This window comes from Homo sapiens, chromosome 12 (assembly GCF_000001405.40).
Source record: "Homo sapiens chromosome 12, GRCh38.p14 Primary Assembly".
Taxonomy (NCBI): Eukaryota; Metazoa; Chordata; class Mammalia; order Primates; family Hominidae; genus Homo; species Homo sapiens.
This window is the reverse complement of record NC_000012.12, coordinates 18,582,674-18,607,262: the sequence shown is the minus strand read 5'-3', so window position 1 is coordinate 18,607,262 and position 24,589 is coordinate 18,582,674. Positions and strand designations below refer to the sequence as shown.

The 24,589-nt window shown below is 36.5% G+C and overlaps 1 protein-coding gene across 14 annotated transcripts in view; it reads right to left on the bottom strand.

The window, feature by feature from the left end:
• Positions 1 to 24,589, bottom strand: part of PIK3C2G (phosphatidylinositol-4-phosphate 3-kinase catalytic subunit type 2 gamma) — a 483,857-nt gene that overhangs the window by 119,555 nt on the left and 339,713 nt on the right. For all 14 annotated transcript variants that reach the window (XM_047429007.1, XM_017019471.2, XM_047429008.1 and 11 more), the window contains one exon: positions 12,694 to 12,769. In XM_047429007.1, the coding sequence (XP_047284963.1) occupies positions 12,694 to 12,769 (76 nt within the window). The remainder of the gene's footprint in view (positions 1 to 12,693; positions 12,770 to 24,589) is intronic.

The following is a 24,589-nucleotide window of genomic DNA, read 5'->3' as shown; positions in this document are numbered from 1 at the left end:
CTATTTCTTTCTAGTAGTTTCTCATATTATTCCTTTCAATTAAAATCATTTTGTTAACCATTTTTGTCTATTGAACTTCTACCTTTCTTCAAAGCTTAATTAAAACGCAAAATAGTTTGTGTGGTCATCTTTCCCTGAACTCTCCTAGCACAGCCCTTATCGTGAAATGTTACATTGTAATTATTTTATATGTCTCAGTTTGTTTAGGGGATTACAATCTATCTCAGGGCTTACTTTTTACCCCTATATCCCCAAGGGGCAAAGCCAATGCTTACTCCATAATGTGCACATTAAACATTTATTTAATAACAAGAGTAACCTTAATTTTTCTTTTGATTTGTATCGCAACATCGTTAAAATGAGAAATTTAGTTTTTTTAATTAAAAATTTATTGTTTACTTCCCAAGGATTAAACATAATTTATAGTTTTACTAATATTTCCCTTATAATCTTTGGTTGTATGTTATCTGGGGTAATTTAGAGATCAATTTATTAATAACAAAGAATTTGTCAATGGTCATCAGAAAGTCAATCTTAACTTTCTAATCTTCTCTAAGATTTGAAAATTATACCTGAGCAGTGTAGTTACACCTGATCAGTATAATTTTCAAATATATAACTTTTCAAAGCCTTCTACATGTTTATTTGAATAATTTATACATTGTATGAGGTGATATTAATTTTATTGTTAATAATATGGATTTGTGACATTGAAAAGGATGTTTTTTACAATTGCAATGGTAATATAAGAAAAAATCACTTATAATATCTTGATTACACTAACTGGGAGAGACTATATAGACTAACACAGAGATACTATGAGATAGTTCTTAGTAAGACTGAAGTAAATTGCATTTCATAATAAAAAGATGTTTGGTATAAAGGTGCTAAAAATGCTGATGACGTTTTGAGGCACAACGAACATTATATTTGAATTAAAGAGTGGAAGAATTGTTAAGTAGACAGCCAATGTATTTAATCAGAGAAGTTTTAATTCAAAGGTAGAAAATTAGCATAAATTTGTGATTGACTGCCTAAATAGTAAAAGTACAATTGCCACTTGAACTGACTGAAGATGATAGTTCTCCCTCCACCTCTTGCTCAAGATTAGTAACTAAAGTGTCCATCAAAACATGCCGGAGTTCAGAACCCAGTGAAAACTCACACCACTAGGAATTGACACTCAGTAGTCAATGTAGCAGTAGGAGTAGAGAGGCTTATTATTTCTGTAGCTTTGACTGTATGCCAGGCTAAGAGCTTTATGTACAGTAACGCATTCAATCATCATAGCAAATCTATGAAATTTGTATTATCTCCATTTTACACATGAGGAAACTCAGGCACTTGGTCCAAGGTCATAGAGACAATAAACGGTGCAGGTTTAAGTGATCTCCAAAGCCTGTGTTTATAAGCGCCTGGTTTATAAGCACCATGCTGTAGAGAGTCAAGAAAGGCGGCTACAACATAAGAAAAACAGGTTAAATGAACTCAAGAGGGACATTTGTGAATAGCTTAATATGTTCAAGAAGACGCTAAGATATTTTGGTCTTCTGCTTCAAGTTAGTCTGAGGGATTCAACTATGCTTAGATTAACCATTTATAGTCACCCCAAGAGCTGTTAAAATATTTTTAATTTTAAGGATGACTGTGTTCATCAAGGATATAGGTCTGTAGTTATCTTTTTTGGTTGTGTCCTGTCCTAGTTTTGGTATTAGCATAATGCTGGCTTCATATAATGAATTAGGGAGAGGTCCTTCTTTCTCTATCTTGTGGAATAGTGTCAAAAGGATTGGTACCAATTCTTCTTTGAACGTCTGATAGAATTCTGCTGTGAATCCATCTGATCCTGGATTTTTGGTCAGTAATTTATTAACTACCATTTTAATCTCACTGCTTATTATTGGTCTGTTCAGGGTATCTAATTATTCCTGATTTAAGCTACAAGGGTTGTATTTTTCCAGGAATTCATCCATGTCTTCTAGGTTTTCTAGATTATGTGTGTAAAGGTGTTCATAGTACCCTTGAATGATCTTTTGTGTTTCAGTGGTATCTGTTGTAATATCTCCCGTTTCATTTCTCCATGAAGTTATTTGGATTTTCTTTCTTTTCTTGGTTAATCTTGCTAATGGTCTATCAATTTTATTTGTATTTCCAAAGAACCAGCTTTTTGTTTCATTCATCTTTTGTAATTTTTTTGTTTCAATTTCATTTAGTTCTGCTCTGATCTTGGTTATTTCCTGTCTTCTGCTGAGTGTGGGTTTGGCTTGTTCTTGTTTCTCTAGTTCCTTGAGGTGTGACCTTAGATTGTGTGTGTGCTCTTTCAGACTTTTTGATGTAGGCAGGCTGGGAACTTTCCTCTTAGCACAGCCTTAGCTGTATCCCAGAGGTTTTGATAGGTTGTGTCATTACTGTCATTCAGTTCAAAGAATTTTTTTAATTTCCATCTTGGTTTCATTTTTGACCCAACACTCATTCAGGAGCAGGTTATTTAATTTCCATGTATTTGTGTGGTTTTGAAGGTTCCTTTTGGAGTTGATTTTCAGTTTTAATCCATTGTAGTCTGAGAGAGTGTTTGATATAATTTCAATTTTCTTAACTTTATTGAGGCTCATTTTATGGCCTGTCATATGGTCTATCTTGGAGAAAGTTCCAGGCACTGTTGAGTGGAATGTGTATTCTGTGGTTGCTGGATGAAATGTTCTAGATATATCTGTTAAGTCCATTTGCTCCAAGGTATAGTTTAAATTCATTGTTTCTCAGTTGACTTTCTGTCTTGATGACCTGTCTAGTGCTGTCAGCAGAGTATTGAAGTCCCCTACTATTATTGTGTTGCTGTCTATCTCATTTTTTAGGTCTTTTAGTAATTGTTTTATAACTTTGGGAGCCCCAGTGTTAGGTGCATATATGTTTAGGTTTGTGATAGTTTCCTGTTGGACAAGGCTTTTTACCATTATATACTGTCCCTCTTTGTCTCTTTTAACTGTGGTTGCTTTAAAGTTTGTTTTGTCTGATATAAGAATAGCTAACCCTGCTCGCTTTTGGTGTACATTTGCATGAAATGCCTTTTTCTACCTATTTACTCTAAGTTTATATGAATGCTTATGTGTTAGGTGAGTCTCCTGAAGGCAGCAGATGGTTGGTGAGTTCTTATGCATTCTGTGGTTCTGTATCTTTTAAGTGGAGCATTTAGGCCATTTACCTTCAATGTTAGTATTGAAATGTGAGGTACCATTGCATTCATCATGCTCTTTGTTGCCTGTGTATTTTCATTTTGTTTTTTTTGTTTGTTTTAGCTTTTTAACTTGCATTTTTGTTTCATAAGTCCTGTGTGATTTATGCTTTAAAGAGATTCTTTTTGATGTGTTTCCAGGATTTGTTTCAAGATTTGGAGCTCTTTTTAGCAGTTCTTGTGGTAGTGATTTGGTAATGGTGAATTCTCTCAGCATTTGTTTGTCTGAAAAAGACTGTATCTTTCCTTCATAAATGATGCTTAGTTTCGCTGGATACAAAACTCTTGGCTGATAATTGTTTTGTTTTAGGAGGCTGAATATAGGGCCCAAATGCTTTCTAGCTTGTAGGGTTTTTGCTGAGAAATCTGCTGTTAATCTGATAGCTTTTCCTTTATAGGTTAACTGGTGCTTCTGTCTCACAGGTCTTAAGATTCTTTCCCTTGTCTTAATTTGGATAACCTGATGACAATGTGCTCAGGAGAAGAACTTTTTGCCAGGAATTCCCAGGTGTTCTTAGTGCTTCTTATATTTGCATGTCTAGGACTCCGGCAAGGCTGGGGAAGTTTTGCTTGGTTATTCCCCCAGATATGTTTTCCAAGCTTTTAGAAATGTCTTCTTCCTAAGAAACACCGATTATTCTTAGGTTTGGTCATTTAACATAATCCCAGACTTCTTGGAGGCTTTGTTCATATTTTCTTTTTCTTTTTTCTTTGTCTTTGTTAGACAAGGTTAATTCAAAGACCTTGTCTTCAAGCTCTGAGTTTCTTTCTTCTACTTATTCAATTATATTGCTGAGAATTTCCAGAGCATTTTGCATTTCTAAAAATGTGTCTGAAGTTTCCTGAATATTTGATTGTTTTTTAAGATATCTATTTCCTTGAATATTTTTCCCTTCACTTCTTGTAACATATTTTGGATTTTCTTGCATTGGCCTTTGCCTTTTATCTGGTCTTTCCCTGATTAGCTTAATAACTAACCTCTTGAATTCTTTTTCAGGTAAATCAGGGATTTCTTCTTGGTTTGGATCCATTGCTGGTGAACTAGTGTGATTTTTAGTGGGTGTTGATGAGCCTTGTTTTTTCATATTACCAGGGTTGGTTTTCTGGTTCCTTCTCATTTGGGCAGTTTCTGTCACAGGGAAAGTCAAGGGCTGAAGGATGTTGTTCAGATTTTTTTGTCCCATGGGGTGTTCCTTGATGTAGTACTCTCCCCCTTTTACTGTGGATGTGGCTTCCAGTGAGCTGAAGTGCAGTGATTGTTGTCTCTCTTCCGGGTTCATTCACCCAGTGAGCCTACCTGGCTTTGGGCTGGTACTGGGGGCTGTCTGCACAGAGTCCTGTGATGTGAACTGTCTGTGGGTCTCTCAGCCATGGATACCAGCATCTGTTTTGGTGAGGTGGCAGAGGGTGGAATAGACTCTGTGGGGGTCCTTAGCTTTGGTGGTTTAATGCTCTTGTGCTGATGGCCTCCTGTCAGGAGGTGGAGCTTTCCAGAAAGCATCAGCTGTAGTAATGTGGAGGGGGACCAGCAGTGGGCGGGGTCCTAGAACTCCCACAATTATATGTCCTTTGTCACCCACTACCAGGGTGGGTAGGGAGGGACCATCAGGTGGGGGTGGGGCTAGGCGTGTCTGAGCTCAGACTCTCCTTGGGCTGGTCTTGCTGCGACTGCTGTGGGGGGTGGGCGTGAGGTCCCGGGTCACTGGAGTTATGTGCCTAGGAGGATTATGGCTGCCTCAACTAAGTCATGCATGTTGTCAGGGAAGTGGGGGAAAGCTGGCAGTAACAGGCCTCACCCAGCTCCCACACAAACTGAATGGCCAGTCTCACTCCCACCGTGCCCCCCTGCAACAGTCTGTTTCCAGGTGGAGGGCGAGTCAGGCTCGAAAAGTTGCCCAAAGCTTTCCACCTCCCAGCTGCAAAAGAAAAGGGCTTTAGTTCTTCCCCTACCTGTGAAGTCTCCAAGCCGGATTCGTGCCCTCCCCTGAGTTCTGGCCAGGAGGCTTCTAGCCCCATTCAAATTGTTACAGAGTTCAGCTAGAGAATTCTTTCTCCCTGTGCAGTTTTACCCCCTCCTCTGGCCACCCCACTGATGGATCCCTGTGGTGCCAGGCAGGAATGGGCTGCTTGGGGACCCAGCGAGCTCACAGGGCCTTTCTGCTGCTTCCTCTACCCCTGTATTTCCCTAAGCCCGGCTCTCTAATGTCCAGTATAGTTGAAAGTCAGGTCATGTGATGCTTCTGGCTTTGTTCTTTTTGCTTTGCTATTTGGACGTTTTTTGTTGTTGTATCACATGAATTTTAGAATAGTTTTTTCAAACTCTGTGAAAAATGACATTGGTAATTTGAATGAAAAAAAATTCCATGCCCATAGACTAGAAGTATCAATATCATTAAAATGGCCATACTGCCCAAAGTAATTTACAGATTCATCATTAACATATTATGATTAACTATAGTCATCCTACATCCTACGTAGTATAGAACCCTAGATCTTGTTCCACCTATCTAGCTGTAATTTTGTATTCTTTAAAAAAATCTCTCTCCATCTCTCCTTTACCCCCACCTTTCTCACCCTCTAGTATCCTCTGTTCTACTTTTTACTTATTTGAGATCAGCGTTTTTAAGCTTCCACATATGAGTGAAAATATATGGTGTTGAACTTTCTGTTCCTGGCTTATTTCACTTAACATAATGTCCTCCAGTTCCATCCAAGTTACCACAAATGACAGGATTTTTTTTTTTTTAATTTTTATTTTATTGGTTGTTTTGTTAAGAAAGGTCATTCAATTTTATCAAATGCCTTTTCAGGGTCTATAGAGGTGACCATGTGATTTTTATCCTTAAATCTATCAATATGATAATATGTATTATATATTATGTATAGTACTAATATTGAACTGTTCTTGCATTTCTGTCATGGTGAATTATATTCCTTTAGTGTGCTGATGGATTATTTTGGCTAATATTTTATTTAGAATTTTTCCTTGATATTCTTAAGTGAGATTGGTCTGTGATTTCTTATTTGCCACCCTTGTAATCCTTGAAACTATTGGTGTAAATACTTTATGTGCATCATAAAAGTCATATGGAAAATTTTCTTTCTTTTTCTCTGCTCTGGAAGTGTTTAAGTAACATGAAATTGTCTGCTTTTAAGGAGTTTGGTAGAATTCCTCTGGAAATTATCTGAACTTGGTATTTTTGAAAAATGTAAAAGTTTTGCTTGCATTTTGAAGCATTATATTGTATTTATTTGATCAAACTTAATCTTGTTAGAATCATCTTCTCTGGGCCAAGTAAATTTTTTTTTCCTAGAAAATTATCAATTTCAGACAGATTTACAAATTTATTTTCTCATGGAGTTGAACAGGTAGTCTGTTACTATAATTTCATCTTTCTATGGTTAATTCTTGCATTTCCTTTTGTATTAATATTTGCGTACTTGCATTACTCCCCATTTTTGATTAGGTTAGATAGTGACTCATTTATTTTATTGTTTACTTTTTACTTCTGATTTGTTCCAGTGTTTTCTTTGTTCTAACTATTTGAAGTCTACTTTTATCTTTATCCTTTTTTGGTTTATTTGGTTTGGTTTGTAACTTTTATTCCAATATTCCTCTGAGCATAGTTTTGTCTTTCATGGTTTCTGAGATGTAGTATTTCACTATTGCTAGTCTTTAGAAATTTTGCAAATTTTTTCTGTAATCCATTTGATCCAACAGTTCTTCAAAAGATTTTTTTTTAATTCCTAAACCTAAGTGTCTTCTAGTTTTCTGAAAATTTCCATTAAATTTTCACTTTGTTAAAGTGATTAAATGATTAAAGAATTTCAACTACATTATTTTTACTTTTTGGACTTTATTGAACTTTTCTGTAGTCAAATATATCATCTATTTTATAAACTTTCATAGGCATTTGAAGAGAAGATACATTTTTTTTCAGGATAAAGTTTTGACTTATTGACTACTTTATTTTTCTATAAATCTACTTAGGTTTTTCCATTTGGTCTTTCATAAATCAAGATGTGAAATAGAGTATCCTACTACTAGTGTGTTTTTATGTGTTTCTTCTTGTGTGTTCAATAATTTCTGCTTTATATATGTTGCTGTCAAATTATTTGATATGAAGTCATAACTGCGCCTATCTTTATTGAGAACTGTACTCATTATAAAATTCTCTTATTTAATTCAATGCTTTTTAGCCTAAATTCCTCTTTTTCTTCATCAAGATTGTGACCTCTGATTGAATTTTCTTGCTTTGCCTAATATACCTATGGCTATATTTTAATTTTCAACCTTTCACAATCACTTTGTTTTAGGTGTGTTTTCTTTATTTTTATTTTTATTTTTTTTTATTTATATTTATTTATTTATTCATTCATTTATTATTATACTTTAAGTTTTAGGGTACATGTACACAATGTGCAGGTTAGTTGCATATGTATACATGTGCCATGCTGGTGTGCTGCACCCACTAACTCGTCATCTAGCATTAGGTATATCTCCCAGTGCTATCCCTCCCGCCTCCCCCTACCCCACAACAGTCCCCAGAGTGTGATGTTCCCCTTCCTGTGTCCATGTGTTCTCATTGTTCAATTCCCACCTATGAGTGAGAATATGCGGTGTTTGGTTTTTTGCTCTTGCGATAGTTTACTGAGAATGATGATTTCCAATTTCATCCATGTCCCTACAAAGGACATGAACTCATCATTTTTTATGGCTGCATAGTATTCCATGGTGTATATGTGCCACATTTTCTTAATCCAGTCTTTCATTGTTGGACATTTGGGTTGGTTCCAAGTCTTTGCTATTGTGAATAATGCCGCAATAAGCATACGTGTGCATGTGTCTTTAGAGCAGCATGATTTATAGTCCTTTGGGTATATACCCAGTAATGGGATGGCTGGGTCAAATGGTATTTCTAGTTCTAGATCCCTGAGGAATTGCCACACTGACTTCCACAGTGGTTGAACTAGTTTACAGTCCCACCAACAGTGTAAAAGTGTTCCTATTTCTCCACATCCTCTCCAGCACCTGTTGTTTCCTGACTTTTTAATGATTGCCATTCTAACTGGTGTGAGATGGTATCTCATTGTGGTTTTGATTTGCATTTCTCTGATGGCCAGTGATGGTGAGCATTTTCTCATGTGTTTTTTGGCTGCATAAATGTCTTCTTTTGAGAAGCGTCTGTTCATGTCCTTCGCCCACTTTTTGATGGGGTTGTTTGTTTTTTCTTGTAAATTTGTTTGAGTTCATTGTAGATTCTGGATATTAGCCCTTTGTCAGATGAGTAGGTTGCGAAAATTTTCTCCCATTTTGTAGGTTGCCTGTTCACTCTGATGGTAGTTTCTTTTGCTGTGCAGAAGTTCTTTAGTTTAATTAGATCCCATTTGTCAATTTTGGCTTTTGTTGCCATTGCTTTTGGTGTTTTAGACATGAAGTCCTTGCCCATGCCTATGTCCTGAATGGTAATGCCTAGGTTTTCTTCTAGGGTTTTATGGTTTTAGGTCTAACGTTTAAGTCTTTAATCCATCTTGAATTGATTTTTGTATAAGGTGTAAGGAAGGGTTCCAGTTTCAGCTTTCTACATATGGCTAGCCAGTTTTCCCAGCACCATTTATTAAATAGGGAATCCTTTCCCCATTGCTTGTTTTTCTCAGGTTTGTCAAAGATCAGATAGTTGTAGATATGCGGCGTTTTTTCTGAGGGCTCTGTTCTGTTCCATTGATCTATATCTCTGTTTTGGTACCAGTACCATGCTGTTTTGGTTACTGTAGCCTTGTAGTATAGTTTGAAGTCAGGTAGTGTGATGCCTCCAGCTTTGTTCTTTTGGCTTAGGATTGACTTGGCAACGCGGGCTCTTTTTTGGTTCCATATGAACTTTAAAGTAGTTGTTTCCAATTCTGTGAAGAAAGTCATTGGTAGCTTGATGGGGATGGCATTGAATCTCTAAATTACCTTGGGCAGTATGGCCATTTTCATGATATTGATTCTTCCTACCCATGAGCATGGAATATTCTTCCATTTGTTTGTATCCTCTTTTATTTCCTTGAGCAGTGGTTTGTAGTTCTCCTTGAAGAGGTCCTTCACATCCCTTGTAAGTTGGATTCCTAGGTATTTCATTATCTTTGAAGCAATTGTGAATGGGAGTTCACTCATGATTTGGCTCTCTGTTTGTCTGTTATTGGTGTATAAGAATGCTTGTGATTTTTGTACATTGATTTTGTATCCTGAGACTTTGCTGAAGTTGCTTATCAGCTTAAGGAGATTTTGGGCTGAGACAATGGGGTTTTCTAGATATACAATCATGTCGTCTGCAAACAGGGACAATTTGACTTCCTCTTTTCCTAATTGAATACCCTTTATTTCCTTCTCCTGTCTAATTGCCCTGGCCAGAACTTCCAACACTATGTTGAATAGGAGTGGTGATTGATACAAAAATCCTCAATAAAATATAGGTGTGTTTTCACATAGAGTTATGATTTGCATTTTTGTTCCAATTTGGAAAACAACTTCCTTAATAGATGAGTTAAGCCCATTTATACTTATTAATATAATAGATTAGTTTTCTCTTAGGTCTATTTTAATGCTTTATATTATTATTTTTATGATTTTTAAAGAAAGTCTTTTGCTAAGTAATTTGCTTTTATTTTCATGTATTTGTGATACCTAAGAAAGTTGTTACTTTTGTTTTAGCAGCTGCCTTTATTTAATAGCCTTAGACTTTTTATTTCTTTTGACAATACTTGTTTCATAAGTGGATAAAGATAAAGGTGAAATTAGTGTGCACAATCTTTCTAACTCTATTTCATCTACCACCCAATTATATTCAATGTTGCGATTTTTCTCGGTGTTTTGGTGTTTCCCTAACACAGATATAGATTTTTTTATTGCTTGATTTCTTAGATTTTACTTATATCCTTCACACTCAGATGTTAGAGATGAGGTAATTAGAGAAAGCCCTCTAACTCATCATTTTTTAATCTTTTTCTTCCCAGATCAAAGTAAAAGTCCAAAATATTTTTCTAATTAAAAACATGAGGTCATACAACATAGCAAAATGGCTACTATGTTAAAGCTTTCAACTGAATGTTTCAGAAACAACTTAACACAAATATTTATTTTTAAATAGTTCTATTCTTACACTGCTTGGCCTTTCACATCATTAACATTTTAATTGAAAACCTGAGTACCATACTTCAACCCATGGATAATTGATCTGGGCTCTGCCAGAGCGAGTAGCTAGACCATTAACTAGTGAGACCCTGGCATGTAGATGGCATGGCCTCAAGTTCTCTTTCAAAATAACATCTCAAATGGGAGGTAGTGATACGAGGTAATGATTGAAAGCTTGTGTTTGCAATCATTTGTAATTTTTAATGGTGCTTAATCATGCTCATTAACTCATCCTCTTAACCCTGACAATTGCTGTGTTTGATCATGTTCTACTCCATTACCTATGTTATTATTTCTGTACCTTGACAAATAACTATCTTCTGGGTGTCAAAGCTATGTAGTAGTTGTGAGTAGATAATTTTATTTTATTTTTTTGTGGAGGTATTATTTGGTATGTGGGCTATATTAATTTTGGGAGAATATATAGGATCATGTCATTAGAGAGTTAAAGAATATACACTTAAAATAAAATCCAGCAACTTTTTTGGTTACTGCTTTGTTGAGTCTGGTATCCATAATATTTAGTGTAATAATTTGTAGTTTTTTTATTCCAAGTGATAACTTTAAGATAATTTTAGCAGTTCGGAGACCCTGAATTTCTTGTGCCAGAACATTTACACATGAAGTAATCAGTTTGGGAGGAATAGCACGATTTTGATAAGGACAAGAGAGAAAAAACCAAAATCAAAAATTATTTTACAAATGCCATGCTACCTTGATAGAGAATATCAAGGTGTCCTTCATAGTTGTTCTTTCTGTCATCAATCATTTATTCAGTAATTATTTATTGAACAACTATAGTAGGCCAGACACTGTGCATGACCCCAGGGATACAATGGTGAGCCATATGGACATGGATTATCCCCAGTGGATTTCTAGTCTACAGATAAACACACAAGCAAGAATTATCATGGCAATGAGTGTTTTGAAGAAATAACATTCTAGGCGTGTATAGCAAAGACCATATTCTGCTGGAATCCCATGATGAGAGTTTTGATGTTTATCCAAAGGGCAAGACCAGCTACATAATTGGTGGGGCTCAGTGCAAAATAAAAATGTGGGGATGATTTTTCAAAACTTATTAAGAATTTCAAGACAGTGGCAGCAGAGTATTAAATCAAGTGCAAGAACTTTTTAAGCACCCTGCCCTGTGTGACTGTGCAGGTCACAAGTGGATACAGCTGGCCCTGCCTAAGGGCAATCAGAAGCCAAAGAGAAGGTTTAACTAGAGAAGAGAGATGATTGAATTGGCATTTGAAAAAAATAAATTCCTTAAATTCCTCAATTGTTCTCCCAAGGCATGTTTAGTTAGTGAGTAAAGGCAAAGAGTATTAGTATCTCCCAGATTTAGAGTTAAATATTACTATTATTTTTCTAAGTCAGGTGCCTAGATACACAGGTATCTGGAATCCACCCTCTTAATTAACTTGCAGAGGTAGTAAACTAGTGAAATCTGAGTTTTTTGCTTAATGTTTTCCTAGGTTAACCAACACTTTAATACACTCGAATGATTTCACCCTGTAATCATTTAACAACATACACCTATTTTCAACTAACAGCCAGGAATAGTGCTTAAAATAAATATTGTGCTTCTTGCTTACAACCAGCTAATGTTCTGTGACAAAAGAATTAAGAATTCAAAAACATGAAAAAGAAAATAATTTGATTAGCACAAGAAGGAATAACTTCCTGCTAATCCTTGCTTATTATATTAGTTTGCATATTGTGCTAGGAAATATGTATTCTGTTGTTTTAAGATAATAGATTATATTTAATATGTAGCCGATAATCTAAATGTATTGAGAATCAAATCTTTTGTCACTCATCACTGTTGAAACAAATCTTGAATATTCTATGATGTAAGAAATAAAAAAAGTTCTCAACCATTTTAGTTTTTGCAATAATAATCCTAAATTTTTAATGTGTGCAAATGTATTTCAAAACACCTTTCAAAGAAATAATATTATAATCAAAATAAAAAAGATTTGACAGTGGTCTGCAATTTAATTTCTTGAAACACAGAGAAACAATTTTCTTGAGAGACTAGTGACAAAATAGAGTCAACCTTTCATCAAAGCCCCACACCTCTAGAATTCTACAACCTCATGTTTTATTTTTTCAAAATCTGGATTATTCAAGTTTACGCTATGGAAATGGTTAGAAAAGAGTATTAAAGTCTTACTCTTAAAAAGAGATTTTAATTGAAAAATTGAAAAAAATTAGTTGTGATATCTTTTTGTCCAATTATTTTGAAAATCACTGTACGTAATATAATGACAAATTTACTTACCTAGGTACACAGGTGATGATTCTTCAACTGTTTGTTGCACAGCCTCAGAGAGGAAAAAGCTAAGTACACAATCACTCTGAAAAACAAAATGAAACATAATATTTCTTTATTTCTTATATTTGTTACTGCTATTCATTATTACATAAAATTGCCATATATATCATTTTAAAATAGATACCTGTTATAGATTCTACAAATAGAGAGAAAGTATATTAGAAAGGTTAATTAAGTCAGTGCTATCATCTTACCATTAAGTTAAACTAAACTTTTGTGTGACTGAAGGTCAGATTACTTTCCATTTCTTCAAGAGGTTCAAGTGTGCTCTGCTCTTGGACCTCATCATAAATGTCCACATTCTTGAATTTTACAAATATGCATGCATTTCACATCTCAATTTTCGAAAACAAGGTGTATCCTTGGATGGCCTTTCTGAGAAAAATTACTGTGAGTGGGACAGACAGGCTCAGTTAGTGAGTAACCACTACTACTCAAGGTTCAATTCTAGGAATACTCGCTGAGTACTGACTACACTCAGAGCACTGAGGAATTTAAAAGAGAGGCATGGTTCTCTGTACATAGTAAAATTATTTATAACTAGAATTTTTATTAAAGTAATATAATCTGTTTTCTCCACTTAATTGTTTTCTAAAGAGAGAGAATCAGGGGATATATCAAGACAGAAAGATGCATAAGGTATTCTCTCTCTTTAGAACACAATTAAGTGGAGAAAACAGATTATATTACTTTAATAAAAATTTCAGTTATAAATAATTTTACTATGTACAGAGATGCATGCTTCTCTTTTAAATAGTGATAATCACAAATTGACATTTAACCTGATCTCCAAATGAATGGCTAACTGGGAAGTCTGAGAACAGCTTTTCCTTAGTAAAACTGGCATACATTTTGTTGGAAGCTACTATATGACCAAAGTAGTCCTCTCCATGAGATCTTACATTATTATCTAAAGGGCACCAAAGAATAATTGATTATTTCCCTGGACTACCTTTCACAGGCTGATGCCATAGTAGCTGTCAAAGCTGCCTGACAGCCTCCCTGTTCTTTTCTCTCACTCTGTCCAATGGCTTTTTCTACTCTTCCCCAGGAGACTTTAACTTCCAACTCTGACTCCTTCTCTGCTAATGACTGTCTCTACTTCCAAGAAAATAAAAGGCAGATGGAAATTCCTAAACTTCCTGCCATAAAATCTACAGACACACAGCTTTCCATCCGCTTACAATGGAAAAAAAAATGTGTCTTTCCCTCTGTCATAGTTGAATTATTTCCCCCTCCCAAATTCGTATCTTAAAGTTCTAATAACCAGTACTCCAGGACATGATATTATTTGGAAATAAGGTCATTGCTGATGTAATTAGCTAACTTAGGATGGGGTAATACTTGAGTAGAGTGGGCCCCTAATCCAATTGACTGGTGTCTTTATAAAAAGAGGAAATGTGGACACACTCATAGAAGGAAGACAAGGTGAAGAGACATAGGAAGAAGATGACCATCTACAAACCAAGGAGAAAGACCTGGAATAGATTCTTTCCTCATAGCCATCAGAAGGAACCAACCCTACAGACATCTTTATATCAGACTTTTAGCTTCCAGAACTGTGAAACAATAACATTCTGTTGTTTAAGTCACCCAATTTATAGTAGGTTGTTATGGCAGCCCTGGCAAACCATCTAATGCTGAACCCTTTACCTGTGTCCTGGATTCTATTAGTTCCTCCTCAGGAACCTTGTAGAAGATTCCCATCTATATTTTAGCCACTTCACTCTTCTTCCGTTTTTCCTCATCAACATAAAATATGGTCAATTCTGTCAATTTTAAAAACTAACAAACAGGTGAGTCAAACCACCCAAAATATACTCACACATAAATCGAATTTTGTCATTAATGCCCCTTGCAAATTGTGTGTTATTTTTCTCTTCCCTGATGCAAACAAACCTATGGGAAGAATTGTCTGCACTCACACTGATTCCACTTCTTCAATTTCTACTCACTTTATGATCAACTACATTCAGGTTTCTGCCACTAAATGTCCTCTGAAAAATGCTCTAATTATCTTCTCTAACAAGCCCTCTCTTAAAAACTACATACATATATATTTCAAAACCAATGGGAATTTCCTTTGTCATGATATAGCTATTCCATTTTTAGTGAATTCTGTCTTGTCTTTGCTTTTATATTACATGTTCTCCCAAGTGACTGTCTTCCCTTTCTATTGCCATCACTTCTGAGACTTTTTTGTGGACTCCTTTTCCTTTTGCTTGTGATTTAAGTTTAAGTGTTTCTCACTTCTAGGCCCATCTCTCTTATTACTCTAATGTATCCTTTCTGGGTAATATTATGGTCTTTGGTGACATCTATAATGATGCATAAATCTAAACATTTATTCCAGATTTGTCTCCTAAACCTAAGCCTTCTATCTCAAAATATCTTTTCACTGGTTCACTTGACTCTTCTAAGCACAAATCAAACCACAAAAGTGTACCACTAAATAGTTTTTCCTTTCCTTCACCTCAATTTGCTGCTTCTCCTATGTCCATGCTCACAATAGAGTGTACCTACTTGGACTCTCTGTTCTCCTCACCCCATACATAAAATTAATTGCTAAATCCTGTCGATTGTACCTGCTAAATAGCTCACCTATTCATCTTCTTCCAGGTATACTAATATCATCTAGTTCCAACATCATCAATTCTCATCTATGTTATAGCCTTAATGCTTATCTTGGGCCCTTTATACTTATCTTGCTACCCTTTAATCCAATCCAGTCTCTACACAATTGCTCAACAGATCTTTCAAAATGAAAATCTAATAATTAACTGCTTAAAACCTGTAGTGATTCTGCATTACTCTTAGGAAACAGACCAACTGCTGAACAAAGCTTGTAAGACTGCTCTTGACTGGGATCTTGCTCATTTCCCTATGTTCTTCTCTCACCCTTTCTCATCTGGTGCTTAATGCTTACCTTTGCTGAATTATATTTACTTTCTCAAATGTGTCATGGTCTCTCACTTCCTTGTCTTCCTATATTTTCCTTTCTCTTTCTTTTCTGCCCCTATCCACCCATTTGCCCAGGGTTTGTCATGTTCTCTTTTCTTCACTCTTGTTAATATTAGTAAAATACAAGTACAGAGATTGTGACTTATTCCCTTATGCTCCTCTTCAATAAAACAGTGTTTCTTTCAATAAATACTAGTTAACAGAAACAAACTGATGTCTGTCTTCAAATGTAGAATACATCAGTTTCAAATGCAGGTATTCTTATCTGCACAGCAGTTTATGCATCATTGTAAATTAGTCACCAATTTTCTTCTATGTATCATTGTAAATTAGTCAGTTGCCAATTTTCATCTGTGAATTGATCTCTTGTGAACTTGTTTAATAGAAGTCTACTTTTAAGAAATGGACTCATATTCAAGGAGATGACAGAGTCAAGATTTTTTATTTTGAAAGCATAAAATCAAACCTCAGACTGCAGAATCTGTTTAAGGAAATTTGACCTTCTTTGGCCTTTTGACAACTAGTCAATTACTTTTCTTTGGTGACATTTTGACCTCACCATCCAATGGTTATTAAACTTCAATAGTAGGAAAGAAATCTTTCCAATTGGTGTCTGAAATGTCACTACTAGCTAATTATTCCCTTGTGTTTACACCGTCATATCCTTCAAGTCCTCATTTATAATTCTGGGTGTGGATGACTAAATACTAACTTCTTATTGTAACAAGGTTATTTTCTCTCCTGGGAATAAACAAACAAGATCCAGAGTCAAGAGAGGGATAAATCAATAAAAGAGATGAAGAAGGTACAAAAAGTAATATTACTGGATCTCAAAATGATCAACTTTTAAATTTTCTGAGACTTGACTTTGCTTATATGTATGCCTCCCACAGCTTTTTTTCACATTGCACCAATAGATAGTCTGAAGATTTATAGAATTATCAGTGCTACATTTGCTCTCATTAATAACCTATGCCGGTGTTCTCCACTGGTATTGACCTCTAAGCAGTGTTGCCACATTTAGTAGTGTAGGTTGGATACCGCACAACTCTAAGGGGCCATTTTCACATAGTCTACGATGTATGCAGGAGGGTTCCCCATATGTAGGGTTACCAGCTAGAGTAATAAAAACAGAGGGTACCCATACAATATTTTGGACATACTTTTACTAAAAACTTTATGGTTTATGGAAAATTCAAATTTACCTGGGTAACCCATATTATATCTATCAATCCTGGAATATGAGGTGTTCGGAAAGTATGTGGCCATCCTTTTGGCTGTGTCAAGGACTGGAGGATACAACTAGAAATTAATGGGCAATGTCACTTATCCTAAGTGTCCTGAAATACCTAGAAGATTCTCACATTATGAAGAACGTTTCTTTTCTGCTTAATTCCTCAAGTGGTTGTAGTTTCCCAGGTGAAAAAAAAAAAAAAACTCTGAATTTAACTACTGTATACTATAAATGAGAAAGTTGGATACCAGAGAGAATAAATGATTGTTTGGAATCAGTACAAACACAACTGGGACTGTGTGGTTACCAAGTCCAGGCTCACTTATGTAACCACTGAAAATGGACTATAGAAGTGAAGAGTGCTGATGGGGTACAGGCAGGAGAGAGCAAGAGAGAATTTCATAGGGAACCTAGAGGACATTCCTCTTCTAGCTTAAGGCTAGTTTGACCTATTTATCAATGTAAAGAAGAAAAGCATTACAATCCTGTTTGTTTTAAGAAAGATGAAAATGGAGCATTGTGGAAAAAAGAAAAGACAGCAATTAGCCTTGGAGAATGCCATGGGCAAAATTCCTTATGTGCTAAACAAATTGTATTCTCTGAGTGCTCCATTCTTCTTCCCCTTTAAGTCTCTGAATTGGTATCTGTGTTCCCTCTCATTTTCTTAATAATCCTTGTCCCAGAAGAAGGTGGGGTAGGCATCCTCTTTGTATTTACTTGCTCCTCTAACCTCTATTTTTCCTTCCTTCATAAAAATGCCCTGATTTGAATAGCATGTCTACTGACTATACTGCCCTCTACCTCTTGTTAACACACTTGCCTACTGGTCTTAGGTCACTGGAATTCATAAAGATGCTATAATTTATTTTAACAAAGAAAAATCTTGACCTACATTTCTCTGCACACTCTTTCATCTTTAGAGCAAAGCTCCTGCAAGGATTGCTTTCTGCTTTCTATCTCAAATTCCTTTCTTTACATTCTCCCTTAAGCAATTCCAATCAAGTTTTTGTTCCTAACATTCCCATCACACTGTTTTTCTTTTCCTTTTTTTAATTTTAAAATCATATCTAATTTATTAATAGATCCATAAATAGATCTCCTGATTAAAACTTTAATCTTCTTTCTTTTTTTAAAAAACTTTTAAGCTCACAGGTACATGTGCAGGTTTGTTATATGGGTTCCCTGTAGTTATTTTTTCTGATCCTCTCTCTCCTCCTATCGTCCACCCTCAAGTAGACTCCAGTATCTGTTGTTCCTGTCTTTGTGTTCATGTGTTCTCATAATTTAGCTCCCACTTATAAATGAGAACATTTGGTAATTGGTTTTCTGTTCCTGCATTAGTTTGCTAAGAATAGTGGCCTCCAGCTCCATCCATGTTCCTGAAGAGGACATGATCTTGCTCTTTTTTATGACCGCATAGCATTTCATGGTGTATATGTGCCATATTTTCTTCATCCAACCTGCCATTGAGGGCATTTAGGTTGATTCCATTTCTTTGCTATTGTAAATAGTGTTGCAATAAGCCTACACGTGTATGTGTCTTTATGATAGGATGATTTATATTTCTTTGGGTAGATATCCAGTAATGGGATTGCTAGGTCAAGTGGTAGTTCTCTTTCTAGCTTCTTGAGGAATCACCATACTGCTTTCCACAATGGGCTGGACTAATTTACACTCCCAACAACAGTGTATAAGCATTCCTTTTTCTCCATAACCTCTCCAGCACCTGTTATTTTTTGACTTTTTAATAATAGCTATTCTGACTGGTGTAAGATGGTACCTCACTGGTTTTGATTTGCATTTCTGTAATGATCAGTGATATGAGTAATTTTTCCTATGCTTCTTGGCTACATGTATGTCTTCTTTTGAAAAGTGTCTGTTCATGTCCTTTGTCCACATTTTAATGGGGTTGTTTTTTTTCCTGTAAATTTAAGTTTCTTATAGATGTGCATATTAGACCTTTGTCAGATGCATAGTTTGCAAGTATTTTCTCTCATTCAGTAGGTTTTCTGCTTACTCTGTTAATTATTTCTTTTGCTGTGCAGAAGCTCTTAAGTTTAATTAGATCCCATTTCTCAATTTTTCCTTTTGATGTGATTGATTTTGGTGTCTTCATCATGAAATCTTTGCCTGTTCCTATGTTCATAGTGGTATTGTTTAGGTTGTCTTCTAGGGCTTTTATAGTTTTGGGTTTTATATGTAAGTCTTTATACCATCTTGAGTGGATTTTGTATATGGCATAAAGAAGGGGTCCAGTTTCAGTCTTCTGCGTATGGTGAGCCAGTTATCTCAGCAGCATGTATTGAATAGGGAGTGCTTTCCCCATTGCTTTTGTCAGGTTTGTCAAAAAACGGTTGGCTATAGGTGTGCAGCCTTATTTCTGGGCTCGTTATTCTGTTCTATTGATATATATGTCTTTTTTTTTTTAATCAGTACCATGCTGTTTTAGTTACTGTCTCCCTGTAGTATAGTTCTGAAGTTGGGTAACATGATGCCTCCAGTTTTGTTTTTTGCTTAGGATTGGGTTGGCTATTCAGGTGTTTGTTTTGTTTTGTTTTGTTTTGTTTTGTTTGGTTGTTATTGTTGTTGTTGGTTTTTGGTTTCATATGAATTTTAAAATAGTTTTTTCCAGTTCTGTGAAGAATGTCATTGGTAGCTTGACAGGAATAGCATTGACTCTGTAAATTGTTTTGAGCAGTATGGCCATTTTAATGATATTAATCTTTCTATCCATGAGCATGGAATGTTTTTCCATTTGTGTGTCATCTTTGATTTCTTTGAGCAGTGTTTTGTAATTCTCATTGTAGAGATCATTCACCTCTCTGGTTAGTTGTGTTCCTAGGTATTTTATTCTTTTTATGGCAATTATGAAAGGGATTTCATTCTTGATTTGGCTGTTGGCTTGACTTTGTTGGTGTATAGGAATGCTACTCCTTTCTGTATGTTGATTTGTATCCCAAAACTTTGCTGAAGTTGTCTGTTAGCTTAAGGAGCTTTTGGGCTGAGACAATGGGGTTTTTGAGATATAGTATCATGCCATTTGCAAACAGAGATAGCTTGACTTCCTATCTTCCTATTTGGATGCCCTTTATTTATTTCTCTCGCCTTATTGCTCTGGCCACGACTTCCAATACTATGTTGAATAGGAGTGATGAGGGAAGACATCCTTAACTTGTGCGGATTTTCAAGGGGAATGCTTCCAGCTTTTGTCCATTCAGTATGATGTTGGCTGTGGGTTTGTTATAGATGGCATCTATTATTTTGAGATAGGTTCCTTTGGTATCTAGTTTATTGAGTTTTTTTAAATGAAGGGATGTTGAATTTTATCAAACGCCTTTTCTGCATCTATTGGGATAGTCATGTGGTTTTTGTGTTTAGTTCTATTTGTGTGATGAATTACATTTATTGATTTGCATATGTTGACCCAACCTTTCATCCCAGGGATGAAGCCTACTTCATTGTGGTGAATTAGCTTTTTTATGTGCTTCTGATTTGGTTTGCAAATATTTAGTTGAGAATCTTTGAATCAATGTTATTTTGGCCTGAAGTTTTCTTTATTTGTTGTGTCTCTGCCAGGCTTTGGTATCAGGATGATGCTGGCCTCATGGAATGAACTGGGGAAAAGTCTCTTCTCAATTTTTTGGAACAGTTTCAGTAATAATTTTACAGCTCTTCTTTAAACATCTGGTAGAATTCAGCTATGAATCTTTCTGATCCTGGGCTTTTTTTGGTTACTAGGTTATTTATTACTGATTCAATTTCAGAGCTCATTATTGGCCTGTTTAGGGAATTAATTTCTTCCTGGTTCAGTCTTGGGATGGTGTCCAGGAATTTATCCATCCCTTTCAGGTTTTCTAGTTTGTGCGCATAGAGGTGCTCATAAGTAAGTCTCTGATGGTTGTCTGTATTTTTGTGAGGTCAATGGTAATGTCCCCTTTGTCATTTCTAATTGTGTTTATTTGGATCTTCTCTCTTTTCTTCTTTGTTAGTCTAGCTAATGGCCTATCTATCTTACTAATTTTTTCAAAAAATTAACTCCTAGATTGATTGATTCTTTGAGGTTTTTTGTGTCTTGATCTCCTTCAGTTAAGCTCTGATTTTGGTTATTTCATATTGCTTGGTCATTTCTTATCTGGTTACTCTTCTGCTAGCTTTGGGGTTGGTTTGCTCTTGATACCCTAGTTCTTTTAGTTGTGATGTTAGGTTGTTAATTTGAGATGTTTCTAACTTTTTGATGTGGGTGTTTAGAGCTATAAATGTCCCTCTTAACACTGCTTTAGCTGTGTCCCAGAAATTTTGGTATGTTGTAACTTTGTTCTTATTAGTTTCAAAGAACTTCTTGATTTCTGCCTTAATTTCATTGTATACCCCAAAGTCATTCAGGAGTAAGCTGTTTAACTTCCATGTAATTGCATAGTTTTGAGCAATATTTTTAGTCTTGATTTCTATTTTTATTTTGCTGTGGTCTGAGAAAGTGTTTGGTATCATTCTGGTTATTTTGAATTTGCTGAGCATTGTTATTTGTCCAATTGTGTGATTGATTTTAGAGTATGTGCCATGTGGCAATAAGAAAAATGTATGTTCTGTTGTTTTTGGGTGGAGAATTCCAAAGACGTCTGTTAGATCCATTTGGTCCAATGTTGAGTTCAGGTCCTCAACATCTTTGTTAATTTTCTGCCTCAATGATCTGTCTAGTACTGTCAGTGGAGTGTTGAAGTCTCACACTATTATTGTGTGGGAGTCTAATCTCTGTGTAGGTCTCTAAGAACTTGCTTCATGAATCTGGGTGTTCCTGTGTTGGCTGCATATATGTTTAGGATAGTTAAGTCTTCTTGTTGAATTCAATGCTTTACCATTATGTAATGCCCTTCTCTTTTTTTTTTCTTTTCTTATCTTTGTTGGTTTAATGTCTGTTTTGTTGGAAATTAGGATTACAACTCTTGCTTTTTTTTTCTGATTTCCATTTGCTTGGTGGATTTTCTTCCATCCCTTTATTTTGAGTCTATTTGTGTCACTGTGTGTGAGATGGGACTCTTAAAGATAGCATACCACTGGGTCTTGCTTTTCTATCCAGTTGACCACTCTTTTTAAATGTGGTATTTAGCCCATTTACATTCAAGTTTAGTTTTGTTACATGTGGATTTGATCCTGTAATTGTATTGTTAGCTGGTTATCATGCCAGCTTGTTTGTGTGTTTGCTTTAGAGTGTCACTGGTCGGTGTACTTAAGTGTGTTTCTGTATCATCTGATAATAATGCTTCCTTTCTATATTTAGTGCTCCTTTCACGATCTCTTGTAAGGCAGGTCTGGTGGTAGCGGACTCCATCAGCATTTGCTTATTTGAAAAGGATCTTATTTCTCCTTCACTGAGAAAGCTTAATTTGGTTCATATAAAATTCTTGGTTGAAGATTTTTTTTCTTTAAGTATGTTGAATACAGGCCCCCAGCCTCTTCTGGCTTATAGATTTCCTGCTGAGAGGTCCACTGTTAGCCTGATGGTGTTCCCTTTGTAGGTGACCTTCCCTTTCTCTCTAGCTCCTTTTAATATTTTTTCTTTCATTTCAATCTTGGAAAATCTGATAGTTATGTGTCTTGGGATGATTATCTTCTGTAGAATCTTGCAGGGGTCCTCTATATTTACTGAGTTTTATTGTTTTCCTCTCTAGCAATGTTGGGGAAGTTTTCAATTGATTATATTCAGAAATATATTTCCAAGTTGTTTGCTTTCTCCCGATTCCTTCAGAGATGTCAATAATTCATAGATTTGGCTTCTTTACTTGATTCCATATGTCTCAGAGGTTTTGTTCGTTTCTTTTCATTCTTTTTCTCTTTACTTTTGTCTGACTGTCTTATTTCAGAGAGCCAGTCTTCAAGTTCCAAAATTCTTTCCCCAGCTTGGTCTAATCTGCTGTTAATATTTGTAATTGTATCGTAAAATACTTTTAGCATGTTTTTCTGCTTTATCAGATCTATTAGGGTTTTTAAAAATACTGTCTATTTAGCCAGGCATGGTGGCTCATGCCTGTAATCCCAGCACTTTGGAAGGCCAAGGCAGGCGGATCATGAGATCAGGAGATCGAGACCACAGTGAAACCCTGTCTCTACCAAAAATACAAAAAAAAAAAATTAGCTGGGCACAGTGGCGGGTGCCTGTAGTCCCAGCTACTCAGGAGGCTGGGGCAGGAGAATGGCGTGAACCGGGAGGTGGACCTTGTGGTGAGCCGAGATCACGCCACTGAACTCCAGCCTGGGCGACAGAGCGAGACTCTGTCTCAAAAAAAAAAACAAAAAAACAAAAAAACTGTCTATTTAAAAAACTGTCTATTTTATCTGTCAGCTCCTGTATTATTTTATTGTGATTCTTATGGGTTGGGTTTTGCTGTTCTCCTGAGCATCAATGATCTTTGTTCCTATCCATATCCTTAATTCTATTTCTGTCATTCCAGCCAACTCAGCCTAGTTAAGAACCCTTGTTGGAGAACTAGTGCAGTCATTTGGAGGACATAACTGGCCATTTGAGTTGCTGGAGCTCCTGCATTTTTTTTTTTCTTATCTTTGAATGTGGGTGTTCCTTTAACTGGTGGGCTGCCTCTGATTAAAGTGGTTAGGCAGGGGAAGGGTAGTTGTGCTGCAGTCCCAGGTTGGGAAGCCCTGCCTAGTAAGAAGTGATGACCAGGACCTGTGTGGCAAACAGTATGTCCACTTTTCTGTGTGGTGGGTGCTCTGTGCTGGGGGTCTGGACCAGCCCCTGATCTCCACAGACTCTCCAGAGCCTGGAGACAGCAGGACAAGGGCTGCAAAACAGCAGAGGTGGCAACCCACCCCTCCCACTGGGAGCTCTGTCTCAGGGATTTGCAGAGCTGTTACTGTCTCGATATTCCTAACGAGGGATGCTGGAGACTCAGGCCAGGAGGACCCACCCACTGAGGAGATACAGGGCTGGGGACCCATGTAACAAACAGTCTGGCCACTTTTCTGTAGGGCTGCAGTATGCTGGGGGTCTGCTCTAGTCCCCAGTCACCTTGGATTTTTCAGCACCTACAGTGAAGGTAGCAACAGCAAAGGCTTTGAAACAGCAAATATAGTGGCTTGCCCTTCTCTCTGGGAGCTCTGTCTCTATCCAAGGGAGGTATGGACTTGTTGCTGGCCTGAACACACTGACAGGGGTGGTTGTAGACCTCAGTCAGGAGATTCTGCCCAGTGAAGAGAAATAGGATTCAGAATCCATATGAAAAAGCAGTCTGGCTGCTTCTCCACAGAGCTGCTGTGCTGTGCCACGGGACTGCTCCAGCCTAAAGTCACCCCGGACTCTCTAGCACCTGAAAACAACAACAGCTAAAGCTGTGAAAGAGCAAAGATGGCAGCCTGTCCCTCTCTGTGGGAGCTTCATCCCAGAGAGGCTTGGAACCACTGCCAATTAGAAAACACTGGGTGAGAGTGGCTGGTGATACCAGCTGGGAGGTCCTTGCCCAGTGAGGAGAAGAGGGGTCAGGGTCCCACATAAAAAAGAAAAGCAGTCTGACTGCTTTTTCTTAGGGTGGCTGCACTGAAGGCAGTAACTGCTAAGGCTGCAAAACAGCAAAGATGGCAGCCCACCCCTCCCTCTGGGAGCTCTGTCTCAGGGAGGTGTAATGCTGCTACCGTAGT